Here is an 18,113-nt window from a genome sequence, read left to right on the forward strand (position 1 = left end):
TGCGATCTTGGCTCACTGCAACCTCCGCCTCCCAGGTTCAAGTGATTCTCCTGCCTCAGCCTCCCTAGTGGGTGGGACTACAGGCACCCGCCACTACGCCCAGCTAATTTTTTGTATTTTTAGTAAAGACGGGGTTTCACTATGTTGGCCAGGCTGGTCTCAAACTCCTGACCTCAGGCAATCCACCTACCTCAGCCTCCCCAAGTGCTGGGATTACAGGTGTGACCCCCCCGCACCTGGCTCGACCCTTGAGCTTTGTATCCACTCCATAGGCCCTCCATACACAACTTCCCAGACCTCTTCAGCTCCCACCTTCCAACATTGTTCTTTCCACATCCGTGAGAAGCTGAGAAGCAGAGAGAAGCAGACCTCAGATGTGGGAAGCACAGTGTGTGCTGAAAGCGTCTGCAGCTGCAGGTCGCTCAGCGGTGGTCCCCCAGGAGGACGTCTGCTATATAAGGTGGTCCCACTTTCCCAATAAGAATCTCCAAAGAGCTCTCGGTGTAGTTTTTGTTTGCATTTCTTTTACTAGTGAGGCTGACTATCTTTCATGTACTAAAAGTCATATGCATTTCATTTTCTGTGAACTGTTAATCATGTTTGTTCACTTTTCCTGTCATATTAGTTTATTGATCCTTATGGATTTCTATGAGATATTATGTCTTCAGGAAATGAATCTCTTGCTGGAAAATGAAGTGCAAGTATTTTCGCACTTTGACATTTGCTTTTTGACTTTGATCACAGCAGGTTTGTCAAGCATACTGTTTTCATTTTATGGTGAAACGTATCCATCTTTTCCTTTATGGCTTCTGGAACTTGAGTGATAATTAGGTAACTTTTGTCTTTTTAAATGTATGTTTCCAACAAAGAAAGAAAGAAAGAATATCTTAGAAAATAAGACAACTGATTAGGGCTGAACACGGTGCCCTGGGTAGGCTAATAAGAGAAAAGTTGCAAATTAATATTCTTCAAATATTTATTTAAATTTATTTAAATTTATTTAGGCTGGGTGCAGTGGCCTCAAACCCCTGACCTCAAGTGATCTGCCCGCCTCGGCCTCCCAAAGTGCTGGGATTATAGGCGTGAGCCACTGCTCCTCGCCTTGAACTGCATTTCTTAACTTTTTTTTTTTTTTTGAGAAGGAGTCTCACTCTGTCTTGGCCTGCCAAAGTGCTGGGATTACAGGCGTGAGCCACCGCGCCTGGCCTCTCAACTTTTAAAAAAGAATTTTTTTTTTTTTTTAAATTTTTATTTTTTTTAGTATTTATTGATCATTCTTGGGTGTTTCTCGGAGAGGGGGATTTGGCAGGGTCATAGGACAATAGTGGAGGGAAGGTCAGCAGATAAACATGTGAACAAGGGTCTCTGGTTTTCCTAGACAGAGGACCCTGCGGCCTTCGGCAGTGTTTGTGTCCCTGGGTACTTGAGATTAGGGAGTGGTGATGACTCTTAACGAGCATGCTGCCTTCAAGCATCTGTTTAACAAAGCACATCTTGCACCGCCCTTAATCCATTTAACCCTGAGTGGACACAGCACATGTTTCAGAGAGCACCGGGTTGGGGGTAAGGTTATAGATTAACAGCATCCCTAGGCAGAAGAATTTTTCTTAGTACAGAACAAAATGGAGTCTCCCATGTCTACTTCTTTCTACACAGACACAGTAACAATCTGATCTCTCTTTCTTTTCCCCACATTTCCCCCTTTTCTATTCGACAAAACTGTCATCGTCATCATGGCCCGTTCTCAATGAGCTGTTGGGTACACCTCCCAGACGGGGTGGCGGCCGGGCAGAGGGGCTCCTCACTTCCCAGACGGGGCGGCCTGGCAGAGGCGCCCCCCACCTCCCTCCCGGACAGGGCGGCTGGTGGGCGGAGGGGCTCCTCACTTCCCAGACGGGGCGGCCGGGCAGAGACGCTCCTCACCTCCCAGATGGGGTGGCGGTGGGGCAGAGACACTCCTCAGTTCCCAGACGGGGTCGCGGCCGGGCAGAGGCGCTCCTCACATCCCAGAGGGGGCGGCAGGGCAGAGGCGCTTCCCACATCTCAGACGATGGGCGGCCAGGCAGAGACGCTCCTCACTTCCCAGACGGGGTGGCGGCCGGGCAGAGGCTGCAGTCTCGGCACTTTGGGAGGCCAAGGCAGGCGGCTGGGAAGTGGAGGTTGTAGCGAGCCGAGATCACGCCACTGCACTGCAGCAGGGGCAACATTGAGCACCGAGTGAGCGAGACTCCGTCTGCAATCCTGGCACCTCGGGAGGCCGAGGCAGGCAGATCACTCGCGGTCAGGAGCTGGAGACCAGCCCGGCCAACACGGCGAAACCCCGTCTCCACCAAAAAATGCAAAAACCAGTCAGGTGTGGCGGCGCGCGCCTGCAATCCCAGGCACTCTGCAGGCTGAGGCAGGAGAATCAGGCAGGGAGGTTGCAGTGAGCCGAGATGGCGGCAGTACAGTCCAGCCTCCGCTTTCACAACTTTGGTGGCATCAGAGGAAGACCGGGGACAGGGAGAGGGAGACGAGGGAGAGGGAGAGGGAGAGGGAGATGGGAGAGGGAGAGGGAGACGGGGGAGGGAGAGGGAGACGGGGGAGGGAGAGGGAGACGGGGGAGGGAGAGGGAGACGGGGGAGGGAGAGGGAGACGGGGGAGGGAGAGGGAGAGGGAGACGAGGCAGAGGGAGACGAGGGAGATCCTAAAAAAGAATTCTTCTAAGGAGCCCTTTTAGACATTTTCCCCTCCTAATTGTCCTTCTCCTCCCCACTATGTATAAAACTTTAATACCACAAATATACTGTCTATCTGTTTATGTTTATACATAAAGCTGTTTATAGGACCTCTTGGAGGATGACAAACCATTGTAATATCTAGGACTTTTTCACACCCTACCGGGAGCCCATTCTCTCCTCCTTGGAGTCACATCGCTCCCATTGACCACTCACGGTATAGGATGACTGTGCTAGTTTCCTAGGCTTATTGTAACCAATTACACCACAAACTTGGTGGCTTAAAACAACAGAAACTTATTCTCTCATAGTTCTGGAGTCCAGAAGGTCAAAATTAAGGTGTCTGCAGGGCTGTGCTACCTCCGGAGGCCCTAAAAGGGAACCCTTCCTGACCTCTTCCGGCTCCTAGTGGCTCCTGGCATGGCTTGTGGCAGCTGAACTCTGATCTCTGCCTCCATCTTCACAAAGCATTTTCCTCTGCTCTGTGTCTTCTCCTTTTCTGTGTGTCAAATCTCCCTCCACCTTTCCCATATAAGGACACCTGTTGGCCGGGCATGGTGGCTCACACCTGTAATCCCAGCATTTTGGGAGGCCGAGGCGGGTGGATCACGAGGTCAGGAGTTCAAGACCAGCCTGGCCAAGATGGTGAAACCCTGTCTCTACAAAAAATACAAAAATTAGACTGGCGTGGTGGCAGGTGCTTGTAATCCCAGCTACTCCAGAGGCTGAGGCAGAGAATTGCTTGAACCCAGGAGGTGGAGGTTGCAGTGAGCCGAGATCGCACCACCGCACTCCAGCCTGGGCGACAGAGTGAGACTCCCTCTCAAAATAAATAAATAAATAAATAAATAAATAAATAAATAATAAAATTTAAAAAATAAGGACACCTGTCACTGGATTTTGGGCCCACACTGATAATCTAGAATATCTCAGCTGGTGATCTTTAACTTTTTCCAAATAAGGCTACACACACAGGTGCCAGTGCCTAAGACATCTCTTTATGGAAGCCATCATTTAGTCACGATGATGACGAAAATATTTCTAGAGGCAGGGGGTGCATCACTTGCCTACAGAGGAACGTCACATTCATTCTTCAGCGACATCAGCCAGAAAGCTGTGTACACGTCACAACTCACACTGCTGGCCTAGTGTACTTTTTAACATTTTGTGATGTTTCTAGTAGTTACAGTGATTTTATTCCAGGAAATCTGGGGAGCACCTGTCCCTCAGATTTTGCCTACCCCAGAAAAGACGTCTGAAAAACTTCGAAAAACCCAGAAAGTTTTATCGCCTAAACTTTGCCTCAGATGTAGCCCTTTTGTGCCCTCTAGTGGAAATTACGGTAACTGCAGTCATACTTTTCCGAGGAACCGGTAGTCGCAGATTTAAAAAGATTAGTGAGACATAAGTTGCGTTTCAACCCAAAAAAGGAGCTTGGACCGTCTATACTATGATCCAATCCAATGTACTGTGCATCTTTGAGAGAAGCAATGCTAAACAGAGCAAAAGGAAACTGCCTGAGTTGTGAATTCGGTTCTTCTCTGCCCTGCACTTCCTTTTTACAGAAACAAAAGAAGTGGAGGCTGCTTGGGGGAGGAAGACAGAATGATGACAGCTGTGTATCTCCTCCAGCCATAAAATCCTAAGAAGGGGGTGCAGCGCTTTCCTTAAAGAGATATTAAAACGTCTTGGTTTTCAGTTTTTAATCGTACTTTGGCCAGAGTATCACTACTTGGTAACACTTTCATTTATTTATTATTATTTTTTTTTTGAGACAGAGTCTCGCTCTCTCACCCAGGCTGGAGTGCAGTGGCGCGATCTTGTTTCACCACAACCTCCGCCTCCTGCAAGCAGTTCTCTGCCTCAGCCTCCCGAGTAGCTGGGATTACAGGTGCACGCCATTACACCCGGCTATTTATTTTTATTTTTATTTTTATTTTTATTTTTAGTAGAGATGGGGTTTCACCATGTTGGCCAGGCTGGTCTTGAACTCTTGACCTCATGATTCACCCGCCTTGGCCTCCCAAAGTGTTGGGATTACAGGCATGAGCCACCTTGCCCAGCCGGTAACACTTTTAAGAAAATCTAAGCAAATCCTCCAACTATATTTCTTGCAATTTCTCATCATTATGATCTCATGACAGTGTCAACCTACTGGAGGAAGAAAGACATGCGTGGAAAGGCCATGCCCCGTGTAAGAATATTCACGCCCAACAGCATCTCCAGGTAGCATTCGTGGAAGAGTTAGCCCCCAGCTCCGTCACAGTGCCCCTCCTTCCTGGCACAAGGCCTTCGCCTTAATAAGCATTCAGGCGGTGTTGAGTGGAATTGCCACACTGTATCAAGGAGGGCGGGGGCTGCCTTGGTTTCTTTTCAGCGGTGGCTTAAGTACTCAGTGTTTCCTGCTTTTTGGTTGGCAAAGGGCTTTGTCACTTCAGTGGATTGCCTTCAATGTAGAGCCCTCCTGACCCAATTTCTGGAGCACCGCCACCCCACTGCGGGGTAGAAGTTGTCATCCCTGGGTCCCCCATGGGCCATGAAAGCACCTGCCAGACATACTCACTTTCTTTTCCCTCCTTGAAGCTGTTTTTCTAGGAGGGATTTCTCCTGCTTTCTTGGGAACAGGGAGAATTGATTGGGTAACTAGTTCAGAGAAATCTTACATGAAGTAGCTAGTTAAGTACACAGTGCCACATAAGTCGTTCAAGTACATTTGTATTTAGGCAGGTTTTCACAAGAGATGACTCTGGGTCTTCACTATCTTTCAGAATGTTATTTCTACTGGAAAGTCCATCTGCTCATTCAAATTCAAATATATATATATATATATATATATATATATAGCCAGCCGTGGTGGCTCATGCCTGTAATCCCAGCACTTTGGGAGGCCAAGGTGGGCGGATCACCTGAGGTCAGGAGTTTGAGACCAGCCTGGCCAACATGGAGAAACCCCGTCTCTACTAAAAATACAAAAATTAGCTGGGCATGGTGGTGGGTGCCTGTAATCCCAGTCACTCAAGAGGCTGAGGTAGGAGAATCGCTTGAACCTGGGAGGTGGAGGTTGCAGTGAGCTGAGATCCCACTGCTGCACTCCAGCCTGGGTGACAGAGTGAGACTCCATTTTATATAAATATAAATAAATAAATAAACAAACAAATATATATATAGATGGAGTCTCCCTCCGTGGCCGTCGCCCAGGCTGGAGTGCAGCGGCATCATCTTGGCTCACTGCAACCTCCGCATCCCGGCTTCAAGCGATTCTCATGCCTCAGTCTCCCTAGTGGCTGGGATTACAGGTATGCACCATCATGTCTGGCTAATTTGTAATTCAACTATTAATCAGTCCTAAGTGTTGGACATTGTGCCAAGCTCTGGGCACACACCACACTGGTGGGTGAGATGGACTGGTGCCTGTCCTTTTGAGATTTAACAATAGGGATATGAAGATTAATTAAATACCATAATCAATAAGTGCTATAAAGGGAAAACACGGGGGATGTATAACAGATGGTCTTGATTTAATGGGGGGGCAGTCAGGCAAGTCTGAGCAGAGACTTGGAGGAGAGTGAGCTTGGGCAGAGGGCAGAGGGAGGGAAAAAAGGCACAGCATAGTGTTGAGGCCCCAGCAGTGAGGAGAATTGAAATAGGTATGATGAATACTGCTCACGCACACACTCCCCCGTTAGTTCCATTAATCTCCATTAGCTCAGCTATTTCAGGTAAATGGATGTGGGAGGTCTCATTCTAAATTTGTAGACAAACTGAGTTGGTAGCAGTTAAATGAGAAGCTCTTACAAATTCCAACCAGGGAAGTAGCGTTAGTCTTGCCAAGCGCCTGAAGGCCACTGTTTAGGGAGTCCTTGAAGGTAGTGCTGATACCCGATTCACTGTGTCACCCTGTATTACACTTGATAGCAATTGATAGCATAAGTTATACACAGAGATGTGATCTAGAAGCAAGTCAAACGCTGATGTTTTCCGTAACTATTTACTAACTATAAAGTTTGCTGATACCATGGAGAAGAATGAATTTGTGATTGTGGCAGCCTCATCTGAAGAGGGCCACCATCCACTCCTTCCCTCCTTGGATGCCCAAGTCACTCCTCCACTGGGAGGTGGATCCTGTTTCTCCAACCAGCAACCCTTGAATCTGGGCTGGCCCAAGTGACCTGTGGACCAATAGGATGCAGTGGAATGATGGTTGAGTGTTTTTGTTGTTGTTGTTGTTGTTGTTGTTGTTGTTGTTTTTTGAGATAGAGTCTTGCTCTGTTGCCCAGGCTGGAGTGCAGTGGTGCAAGCTGGGCTCACTGCAAGCTCTGCCTCCTGGGTTCATGCCATTCTCCTGCCTCATCCTCCCGAGTAGCTGGGACTACAGGTGTCCACCACCACGCCTGGCTAATTTTTTGTATTTTTAGTTGAGGTGGGGTTTCACCATGTTAGCCTGGATGGTCTCGATCTCCTGACCTCATGATCTGCCTGCCTCGGCCTCCCAAAGTGCTGGGATTACAGGCATGACCCACCACACCTGGCCAATGGTTGAGATTTCTAAGTCTAGTCCTAAGAAGCCCCTGAGCACCATCTTGGCTCTTGGAGTGCTCACTCTGAGGCAGTTTTGTCTGCCCCGAGATCCCCACACGTGGAGAGGGTGATGCTGGCCAGCCCAGCCTGGGCACCAGGCATGTGTGTGAAGGAGCCATGTTGGATGTTCAGCTCCAGGTGTATGTCAAACGAAAAAAGGCTGCGGTCCCAGCCACATGGCTCCTCAAACCAGTCAAGCCATCTCACCTCACACTAGACATGGTGGAGCAGAGACAAGCCAATCCCGATGTGCTCTAGCTGTTTTTTTATGTCTTTACAACTGTAAAGCAGCAGATGTCTGCAAACACTGCTTTAGCAGCACATGCTAAGCATAGAACAGCACTTGTGAGCATGGACTAGGATGACGCACACTTGGGAGAAACGTTGCTCATTTTGTTGTTACTCTTTCCTGTTCCTTCATGGGCACTGCGTTTATAACTCCACTGTAAACCTTACCAAGCTGTATTAAGGGGACAGCATAACATAACAGTTTACAACTTGGGTGCTTTTAGCCAAGACAATTTTTTTTAAATTTTGAGACAGAGTCTCACTCTGTCCCCCAGGCTGGGGTGCAGTGGCATAATCTCGGCTCACTGAAACCTCCGTCTTCCAGGTTCAAGCAATTCTCCTGCCTCAGCCTCCCGAGTATCTGGGATTACAGGCATGCACCACCACACCCAACTAATTTTTGTATTATTAATAGAGACGGGGTTTCACCATGTTGGCCAGGCTGGTCTCAAACTCCTGACCTCAGGTGATCCACCTGCCTTGGCCTCCCAAAGTGCTGGGATTACAGGTGTGAGTCGCCATGCCCTGCCCAGTTCTTTATTTGAATTCGAGTTTTATGACTAACACTAGCTGAGTGACCTTGAGCAAGTTGCTTAGCTTGTCCAAGCCTGTTGCCTCATCTGTTAAATGAGAATGACATGACTAGTACTGACATCCTGGAGTACTGAAGATTAAATTCAATAATGGATGTAAAACACTTAGCATCTGTCACATATTGTGTTCAGTCAATGGTGAAGATGACCCGCAGAGGAAAACAGCCTCTTTCATTTCAGTCTTTCATTCATACTCATCTTTAAATTCATTTTACACTTCAGGGTCTGGAAGATAGTAGGTGATTAATAAAGGCTGTTGAATGAATGCCCACATGAAACCTTATGTTATAAACTTTATTTTAAATTTTGAGACAGGGTCTCACTCTGTCACCCAGTTTGGAATGCAGTAGTATGATCTTGGCTCACTGCAATTTCCACCTCCCAGGCCCAAGTGATCTTCCCACCCCAGCCTCCCAACCTTCCAGGTAGCTGAGACCACAGGCGTACGCCACCATGCCCAGCTAATTTTTTTTTTTTTTTTTTTTTTTTTTTTTGTAGAGACGGGGTTTCACCATGTTGCCTAGGCTGGTCTCAAACTCCTGACCTCAAGCGATCTGCCTGCCTCGGCCTCCCAATGTGTTGGGATTACAGGCATGAGCCACTGCGCCCGACCCCTTATGTATAAACTTTAATATTGACCTCTTTAACATAAACTTTACTTATAAATTGTTTGGAGTCAACCATTTTAGGACAGTGGAATGTTGTCATTTCCACCAGGAAGCCTTGTAAAGGGTCTGGTGTCAGTGGAATAAAAAGTCAATTTGGTTTCTTTTGGCACTTAAGACCTCCCACAGCTGGACAGGACCTTAAGGACCATCCCCAGTACCCAGTCTCTTGATGCCTATGAGAACCCTGTACAGCGAATGACTTGTCTGGGGTCACCCAACCACTGTGAAGACTCGACTGCAGTCCAGAACTTTCTCGCTATGGCGTCCTTCCCGTTTTCCTTCGCATAGGGCCATTCAGTGGGGCTAGGACTGACTATCACTAATCTGTTTGGGAGGGGATTGGGCAACTCAGAAGAACTCATGCGAGGATCAAACGGTTGGTTGTGTCTGGATCTTTTTTTTTTTTTTTTGAGACGGAGTCTTGCTGTGTTACCCAGGCTGGAGTGCAGTGGCACGATCTCAGCTCACTGCAACCTCCACCTCCTGGGTTCAAGCCATTCTCCTGCCTCAGCCTCCGAAGTAGCTCAGATTACAGGCGCGCACCACCATGCCCAGCTAATTTTTGTATTTTTAGTAGAGAAGGGGTTTCACCATGTTGGCGAGGCTAGTCTCGAACTCCTGACCTCGTGATCCGCCCGCCTCGGCCTCCCAAACTGCTGGGATTACAGGCGTGAGCCACTGCACCCAGCCATGGACCTTTCCCTTATGCATCTGTCTGATTTGTCATAATGGCCTGCCCTGAAATGGTGACTCACAATTACAAAGCCCCTTTAAGTAGTGGCAATAGGTCAGATGACATGGAGTTTCATTTCTCTGTAAATTGGGGTTTCATCTCTGTTCATGGGTTTCTCCTCTATTTAACTGCTCGAAGGCACAAATGTGCTCTCTTAACTTAATGTACTGTGTTGAGACTCAATAGATTCTTTGGTTTAGCTAATGTGAGAACACAAAACATCAGTCTAGTTATGAGGCTTTAATTACTTTTAAGTCTCAAATGAGTGATGAAATACAGATACCAATTACACAAACTTAAGGCTTCAATTACTTTTTCCTCCTTTTGAAATAAAGGCAGTTCTTTACAGGCCCAGTGTGGGTGCTTTCACCTACAGCACATACTTCAGCTACGGTCCAAAGAAGGCTAAAGGGAAAATACCGTGCTCTTCTCAGCTCTCGCGGTCCTGGAAGTAAATTTCCATGCACTGAAAGAAGTAAGATGGGCTGGGTACAGTGGCTCACACCTGTAATCCCAGCACTTTGGGAGGTTGAGGTGGGAGGATCGCTTGAGACCAGGAGTTTGAGACCAGCCTGGGAAACATAGGGAGACCCTGTTTCTACAAAAAATAAAAAAATAGCTGTCCGTGGTGGCACACACTAGTACTCCCAGCTATGCAGGAGGCTGGGGTGGGAGAATTTCTTGAGCCCAGGAGTTTTGAGGCTGCAGTGGGCTCTAACTAAGCCACTGCACTCAGCCTGGACAACAGAGTGAGACCCTGTCTCAAAAAAAAAAAAAAAAAATTTAAGATGTTAACCACAGAACATTGTCCAAATGATAGGTCAAAGAAAATACATGTACAGGTTAGAACAATTCAAGTAAATTCTTCATTAGTACTTAAGGGAAACAAAATCAGCTGGAAGGCTCCCCAACCCCTCACTACCATGCACTCACACACGCACGCACAGCCAGCGTTAGTCTCTACTCATTTCAGATTGCATTTAGAACAAAAAAAGTTCAATTAATCAAATTTTCCTAAGAAAAGCATCTACGAGCATGGCCACAGATGAAGGGTGAGGAAATGCAGGTGTGCAAACTCTGAAACCCACAGCTGGGCTTTCACATCCTGAAATAAATCTGTTTCCAAGAACAGAGATTTCTGTTGCCCACGTTTGAATCTTGAATCGTGTAAAACTCAATGACATATTCATTTTCGAAGTTAGAATCCTTACTTGGGATACCTGAATCTCTTATCTCCCAAGACTTATGAGACATTCTTTCCAAGTCCGAGAGGTGAATTAACGAGGTTATACTGGGCGGTAGAGAGGAGGCAGTGGGAAACCGGATTGAGCAGCAACAAATTATTTATATGAACATTCCAAATTCAGTTAACTAACCACATTCCACTCAACTTACATGAGAAAAAATTGTGTGGTTTTTAGAAATGGGATTTAATATACAATTCAGCATTAACATTGTTATGTTTAAAAGAAATTAACCCAGATAAAAAGAATTTGGCCTCTAGGGAAAATCAGAGTTCTACTCAAAATATAATACTACCAATAAACTACTAGCATAGTGAATTTTCAGGATCTAATTAAAAGCTTGTTCAATTTGATGGCGAAGTAGTGACGTAAGTGACATGAGAAGGAACGTACAAAGCCCATTACACAGCAGTACCTCCTTTTGAACTGATTAACGCTCACTTTTTCTTATTCGTAAAAAAATACCCAAAAAGTAAAAACTTTCCTTTTTATTTTTCGTAGTTTCTACTACAGAAATTCTGATTTTTTTTACTTGCATCTAATTTGTGTATCTGCTGTAACTTAATCTAAGCATACTTCCAAGCTGGTATAACCAACCTAAACTAGCATCATAAAGGAAGTTAGGAAAGAGGCTGTAGCTCATCAAGTTGCAGCCAATGAAGATGGAGGACATTCTAATGACTTGCCAGAAAGAGGCTAAGTGGTGAACAGGCAGGCATTGCCCCAGGTTGGATGGTCACCTGCTGGTGTTAAGGCTCTGACATCCGACTTCCCCCACAACTTTTAGGTCAGTCAAGGTCATCTGGGGTCACTGACTGTGCTCCCACAAGTACAATTTGAGATCTTGAGATCTGACATCTCAGTTGCCACAGTTTGCATCATGTAGGCTTTTTATCCAAGATCCAATGCTTCTGAGCTGGAACATTTTACCTCAGTTACCTCTTTGAGTTGCCTGCTGGGAAGCTGGGGGCCAAATTTGTAGCCCACTTCCAATTGCACTTTGTGTACATGTTCACTCTTGATTTAATATTTTTTCATTTCTCCTTTACTCAGAGCATATTTAGTCTAAATGTTACTGTGTGGTACGTGTCTCTGCAAGTCCTCTTAAAAAATTCCTGGGACAAGGCAATGCATAAACAAACTTTAGATAAATAATATTATAATCAGGCTAAAGTGAATCACGCTTACTACATATCAAGGCTGCTTCAAGACAAAGATATCAGAGATTTAAAAGATAACATTTCTTAGCAAATTCATGTTCTCCCTAGGGCAATATTGGACTTGTAAAAATCTGAATTTCAGGAGTTTAAAATGAAAGATAAATTCAAATTGCCACAAGTGAATGTTTTCAGAAGCTTCTGAATTTCCAAAAAACATTAAAAAATTGAATCATTCAGCTTAAAAAAAGTCTGTCTGGAAAGGTGCTTGGTTGTGGTATATTACAGCATACAGGATAACCAGAGGTGGAATCTTTATTTCACAAGTTTCAAGATACAGTACAAAACGATTCTGTACATCTCTCTATTAACAGGATTTGTTTACACAATTATATTACACTTCACCAACCTTTATACTGCATTTCATTAAATACAAAATACATTTACAAAAAGAGTCTACCATGGTGTTCCTTCACAATGCCAGCTTAAGGTCTTTTAAAACTTCCTCTTCTACATATTTATAGTGGTTACATCTTGATTATATCAACATTATGAGTTTTATGAGTTTATTTTCTAATCAAAGAGAATAGTGTCAGCCTGTTTCTCAAACCAAATAGGAAAAACAGCATGTGAGATGATTCCCTGCACATAACCAAGGAATCCTTTTCATGCACACAACATTGGACTTTTACTTGTGCAGTCACTTTAACATACAAATCATCTTTCCTTGGGATCGTTTTAAATTTTCTTGAAATACCAAGTGGGTGGAGAGCTTCTTTTCAATGAATACCACACATTTAAAATCCAGATCGTGCCTCAGGCATTCAGGAGTGTTATATTTTAATTTATATTTGAGAGTGATGACTGATGAAAAATATTTGCATGAAAATAGAAATTTTCTTTTGTTCTGATCATTTCTTACATACTTCTAGTCATAATAATGTGTAATACATATATATATTATGAGATTCACTTTCAAAACAAATATCAGCTGTCACTGAAATATAGCCCTGCTTGTCTTGGCAGGTAAAGGGGCTGTTTTCATGACACATCTTGTTTTGAAATGTGCATGTGAAATGTTAGTCCGAACCTCTGTAAAGGAAGTTTTTGCGTATGTAGTTAGACATTAATACACATGCTATACACATAAAGAATTGTGTTTTTCATTTATAGGCCTGCATGCATACTTCCAAAACACTGGTTTGAAGAATGAACATGAGGATAAAAGAAGGGAGAGAAAGACAAAGCAAAATAAAAAAAAATTCCTATATATATATTAATAAAATACTTAAGTTTCCTGGAGGCATCAACGGCTCTTTAAATAAATCATCAGATCATCACCAGATCACTGGCAGGGGTTTCCAAAACTTCCCAACAGTACAGAGACAGAATGGCTTAGTGGTAAGACTCTCACATGTAAGGTAAAAATTAACCTAATATGCAAAAAAGTAACAAATCCTTAGTATCAAGATTAATAATTTATAAATTCATCTGAGTTAAGTGCTAAACAATACATTTTGAAAAGAAGTCATCTTTGATTTACTTTTTCTTTGCCATTGACTGCTAATCAAAAATAAGCCTTACCTAGAAAACAGAAACTGAAACTTCAAACACAGAGACAGAAAAAAAAAAAAAAACCCACCAATGCTACCTCTGTAAAATAAAACTAGAAGCAAAATGAATAGTTTCAAGACAGTCGGCTAACCAACAAACCAAATGCACAAGAGAATACTAAACAGGGTTTTACTGTCATCAAGTTCGAAGGCAGGAAGACAGACTAGAAAAGGTCTTAGGAGAGATGGGCTACCATGGACAAATGAAGCCACACTCTATCTGTTAAATCTAAATTCTAACATTAAAACTCCTGAATCCTGGAGTTAGTTTAATGTCACTGACATTAACTAGCTTTAGTTATTGTCATTTTATTCAAATGGATGCCATTTGATTAGGTAAGTATTGAGCATTATTTTAGGAGAAAAACCAAACCCAACTCCTATTTGCTTAGGTACCATGTCCCATGAACAAAAAAGAAGAAGAGAGCAAAGTATTTTTGAGACAGTCTTTAAGTGAAGCCATAAGAACTAAGTTATTTGAAAGACACCATTCACAAACTGCTGGCAGCAAGTGACCCAGGGTAAAATGAAGTAGAAACAAGCCAAGAAAAGGAAATTCAGAACATTAACAATAGAAAAAGGCAAGTGGTAAACTAATAAGAAGTGTGTTTTTATATGAACAACAAGACTGCACTTTCCCATCCAGCCTTAGGTGGCACACACTGTTTTAAGAAATGTTTTCTCAAAGCACGTACTCAATGGAGGGAAGGAAAGTTAGATATAAAAATCTTGCTAAAGGAAAAATGAGGGTGGATGGCAGAAGAAAAAAGTGAAAGTTGGTAGTCATCTTGGGTGGTTTTTCAACTTTTAAATAAATTATAACAGTTCCTTCTAAAGGAAGTGTGGCTGCTACCGTGGATTACACTTATTTTGAAGCGGGGAGAAGGGACAGTGGTGGAGACACCAAAGTACTGTACCAACTGCACTCAAATCTCTACATGTAAGAGACCAAACAAGTCTCACTATTTACAAGAGTTGCCTAAAGCAACATTACACTTAGGGGGGGTAAGTTTCCTACCTTTCACAGATACGCTTTCATACATATGGCTCTCTTGGTGACTAACTCTTCGAATTTGGAAGCAATTATCTGGGAGGAAAGTTTTGCTTACCAGGTTTCCCATAATTCTCTAAACACAAAAAGGTATACAACTTCATATATAAAAGCCTTCATGTTCATTATAGACTAGTTAAATCTAGTTCTAACTACTACCCCAACTTCAAAAATCAAAGCAGTACAACTCTACAAGCAATAAACTTTTCAAGTTTTCTGGCAGATGAGGGATTCTGGGAAAAAAGCATGAAGGTTAGTATAAACATACTGACATCAGTAGGCATAGAAAACCTGCTCAGATACGAATGCAGTCTCAGACAAGATACAGGCTGGTGAACACCACCATCTGACAATAAAATGAAATACAAATTCAGTTTAAGCTTTAATTATTTCACGTGTGTAATTATGTGAAACTCTTCAGTTTTTTTCCCATACTATTTAACCAGACAATCCTGAAGCATAGTAGCCTTGATTTTCCTAATGTTAACAGTGAGAAAATGGTGACTATGATAGCTAAGCAGTGGCTGGCTTTCTATTATAATATAAAACTATCAGAAATAAAAAGATACCTGAATAGTATAGAACAGTACAAACAGGTTTTGGCTTTCATCAACCACTGAGTTTAATCCATCTTTGATTCTCTGAGTTTTAGTATTATAATAGTAGTCACTGTAAGCCATACCCTGGCAATGATATTTCATATTTAAAGAATTCAGGAAGGTGATGTGTTCTTTGTGCAAAAAGAAATGCAAAGTAAAATAAATCCTGGGAACAAATGCTTCAACTTTAGGAAAAGTATGTCTGTGTCTGTGATCGTAGTACCCCAACCAGAGTTCGTTTTGTTTTCTAATTTCTCCCACTTAGTCCATCCTCTGGCTTCTGGATCAAGGCTCTGTATATTCAAAACAAACAAGCAAATTACAGAGTAGGTGGGGCAAACTCGCGTTAGTGCAAGGAGTCAGTTCACAAGGTTTTGCATAAGTATATTCCATTCCAAAGAAGTAAAGCTCACAAAAAACTCCTTAACAAGGCCTTTCATTCTTTGAAGGAGAGGAGTATGGTATACCGTGTGACAATCACCAATAAGAAACCTCCCAACCCTCCCTTTTAAAATAACAAATATGCTGAATATGTCTAATTGCATGTGGACTGGTAAGAGTTTCTCAGTTATCGCAGTTCCAAAACATTTTCAAGATAGCTTTTTTTTTTTTTAACTTAAAAGGCAAGTTCTATTTTCAGACTTTCGAACACGTTTAAACTTGCAACTGGGTTTTCCTTTTTACACTGATCAGTTTTTAGTGTCGATGCACAATACCTTAAAGATGGTTGACATTAAGAACTTATGCACACTGAAATAATGACCAAAAGGATCCAAGAAAGATAGCTGGATACAGTAGACATTACTCTGAGTGTCTCACATATGTTTCCAGAAAAGAAAAAAAAAAGCCACTGAAAGTTGTTATTCCATATGGCACTGAAACAAACATTCAGCTCAGTTTAGGTAAGAGTTACTTATCCCTGAAAATAAAGGCATCAGATTCTAAGCAGCTTTAGGAATTCAATGCTTCCTTGTGCCGTGCCTCTTCTGGGAGGTGACCACTGATCCAAGGTCCTAAATCAAATGCAAGTGTTCCCAGCAGATAACTTCCTTCGCTGTCACTGATCAAGGCTGGACCCAGTGCCTATTACTGTGGTGGCTGCTGCTCTGGTGGCCCCTCCTGCTGGGGTGGAGCTGGCCGTGGCCCTGGAGGCCTGGGTGCAGGCATGTCTTGGTGCTGCCTTTGCCTGTAAGCTATGACTGTTCCCAACAGCAGCGCAATGATGGTCATGAGGTAAAGGTCCCACTCAGGTCCCAAAAGCTGGTCCATATCAAGTTGGGTGAACATATCTCGAATCTTAATGAAAATAATATAGAAACCATTATTATCACTAAAATGTCAGGCAAGGAACTGGGAAAGTTACATCACCAGAAGTAAGTACAGAAATTAAAATAATTTGTTTTAAAAACGTTTTGCAATGTGTGTGTGTGTGTGTGTGTGTGTGTGTGTGTTTAAAGCGGTTTTAAAAGCCTTCAACTGAAGCTCAAAATAATGTGTCTGAGGAATTAAGCTACTAATTTATAATAGCTGACACTTAATATAAAATGTCTGACAGTGTTCTTTCCACCAGTAATCCAATACGCTAATTTTAATCATTTTTCACAGAAAATATTTGGAAAACAAAACAAAACAAAACAACACTGGGGCCAGGCGCGGGGGCTCAGGCCTTGTAATCCCAGCACTTTGGGAGGCCGAGGTGAGTGTATCACTTGAGGCCAGGAGTTCAAGACCAGCCTGGCCAACACGGTGAAATCCCATCTCTACTAAAAATACAAAAATTAACCAGGCATGGTGGCGGGTGCATGTAATCCCAGCTATTCTGGAGGCTGAGGCACAAGAATTGCCTGAACCCAGGAGGTGGAGGTTGCGGTGAGCCGAGACTGTGCCACTGCACTCCAGCCTGGGCGACAGAGCAAGACTCTGTCTCAGGAAAGAAAAAAGAAAAAAACAGTGGTGAGCCAAGGGGAGAAATTAGTATCTTGGCACAGCGAACCTACTGGCAGTGACAGCACACCAGCTGGAAAGCTCTGTTCCATGACAGTGGGGCCATTTCACAATTCCCATGTAATTGAAAATAGCAGGAATTCAAACATTTAATAGCTGAATGAATAATGCTTCTCAATTAGGATTTAACTAAAACACAAAATATTTAACATCTGAATTGAAACCTGAAAGTTATGTTCTTAGCCTATAATATTTTAATTGTTTTAGTATCACTGATACTTTCTGACTTTTATTATACTTACCCATTAAGAAAGTAAACATGGGGTATAATTTTATATAAAATTACATTTGAAAGATCTCTATAACACGTTTGTAGGTACAGGTGCTAAATTTTTCTGGAAAAAAAATGACAAGAAACCACTAATTGTGTTCTCTGGGGAAGAATCTGGGATGGGAGATTTGTGTTCTTCTGTACTGTTTGACTTTCTTATGATCGATACTTATTAGTCTTATACTCTCTTTTTCTTTTTAGTTGGAATAACTAGGTGGTAGGATTATGGGGCGTTTTTACTGTCTTCTTTATACTTCTGTATTAAAAAAAACAGCAAAGATACAATATACCCAGTACAGCATATTATAAGATGAAGTCCTAGACTATAACCAACAGTTAGTAATAAAAATTGTGAGAGATAAAGGTCTGAAATGGTACTGAAAGAGAAAGAGGAGGCTGCCACACGATCAGCTTTTAATTAAAGGAACAAAGATTGTTTCAATTGGCAGCGGTTACAGCACACCTGACTCATGCTACCATGCAATTATAGCAACTGACATTACACATGTGGAAGCGACTGGGAGGCCAGAGTCCCACAAGACCAGTGCTCTGGAACCCTATCTGTGGAGGACTTCAGCTGCATGGACTAGACAAGTC

General features: G+C 43.2%; 1 protein-coding gene across 4 annotated transcripts in view, besides 1 other annotated feature; it reads right to left on the reverse strand.

Annotated features, from left to right (window-relative positions):
- Nucleotides 9,882-9,941: an enhancer, noted in NCBI's record as "active region_8829". NCBI's record gives its function as "activates an Ori minimal core promoter by ATAC-STARR-seq in GM12878 lymphoblastoid cells {active_cell/tissue: GM12878}" and the evidence as "EXISTENCE:reporter gene assay evidence [ECO:0000049][PMID:35858748]".
- SEL1L (SEL1L adaptor subunit of SYVN1 ubiquitin ligase) overlaps nucleotides 10,903-18,113 on the reverse strand; it is a 62,307-nt gene continuing 55,096 nt past the window's right edge. For all 4 annotated transcript variants that reach the window (XM_047431676.1, XM_005267988.4, XM_005267989.5 and 1 more), the window contains one exon: nucleotides 10,903-16,537. In XM_047431676.1, coding sequence (XP_047287632.1) covers nucleotides 16,328-16,537 — 210 coding nt within the window. In that variant the 3' untranslated portion in view covers nucleotides 10,903-16,327. The remainder of the gene's footprint in view (nucleotides 16,538-18,113) is intronic.

This window comes from Homo sapiens, chromosome 14, assembly GCF_000001405.40.
Source record: "Homo sapiens chromosome 14, GRCh38.p14 Primary Assembly".
Taxonomy (NCBI): Eukaryota; Metazoa; Chordata; class Mammalia; order Primates; family Hominidae; genus Homo; species Homo sapiens.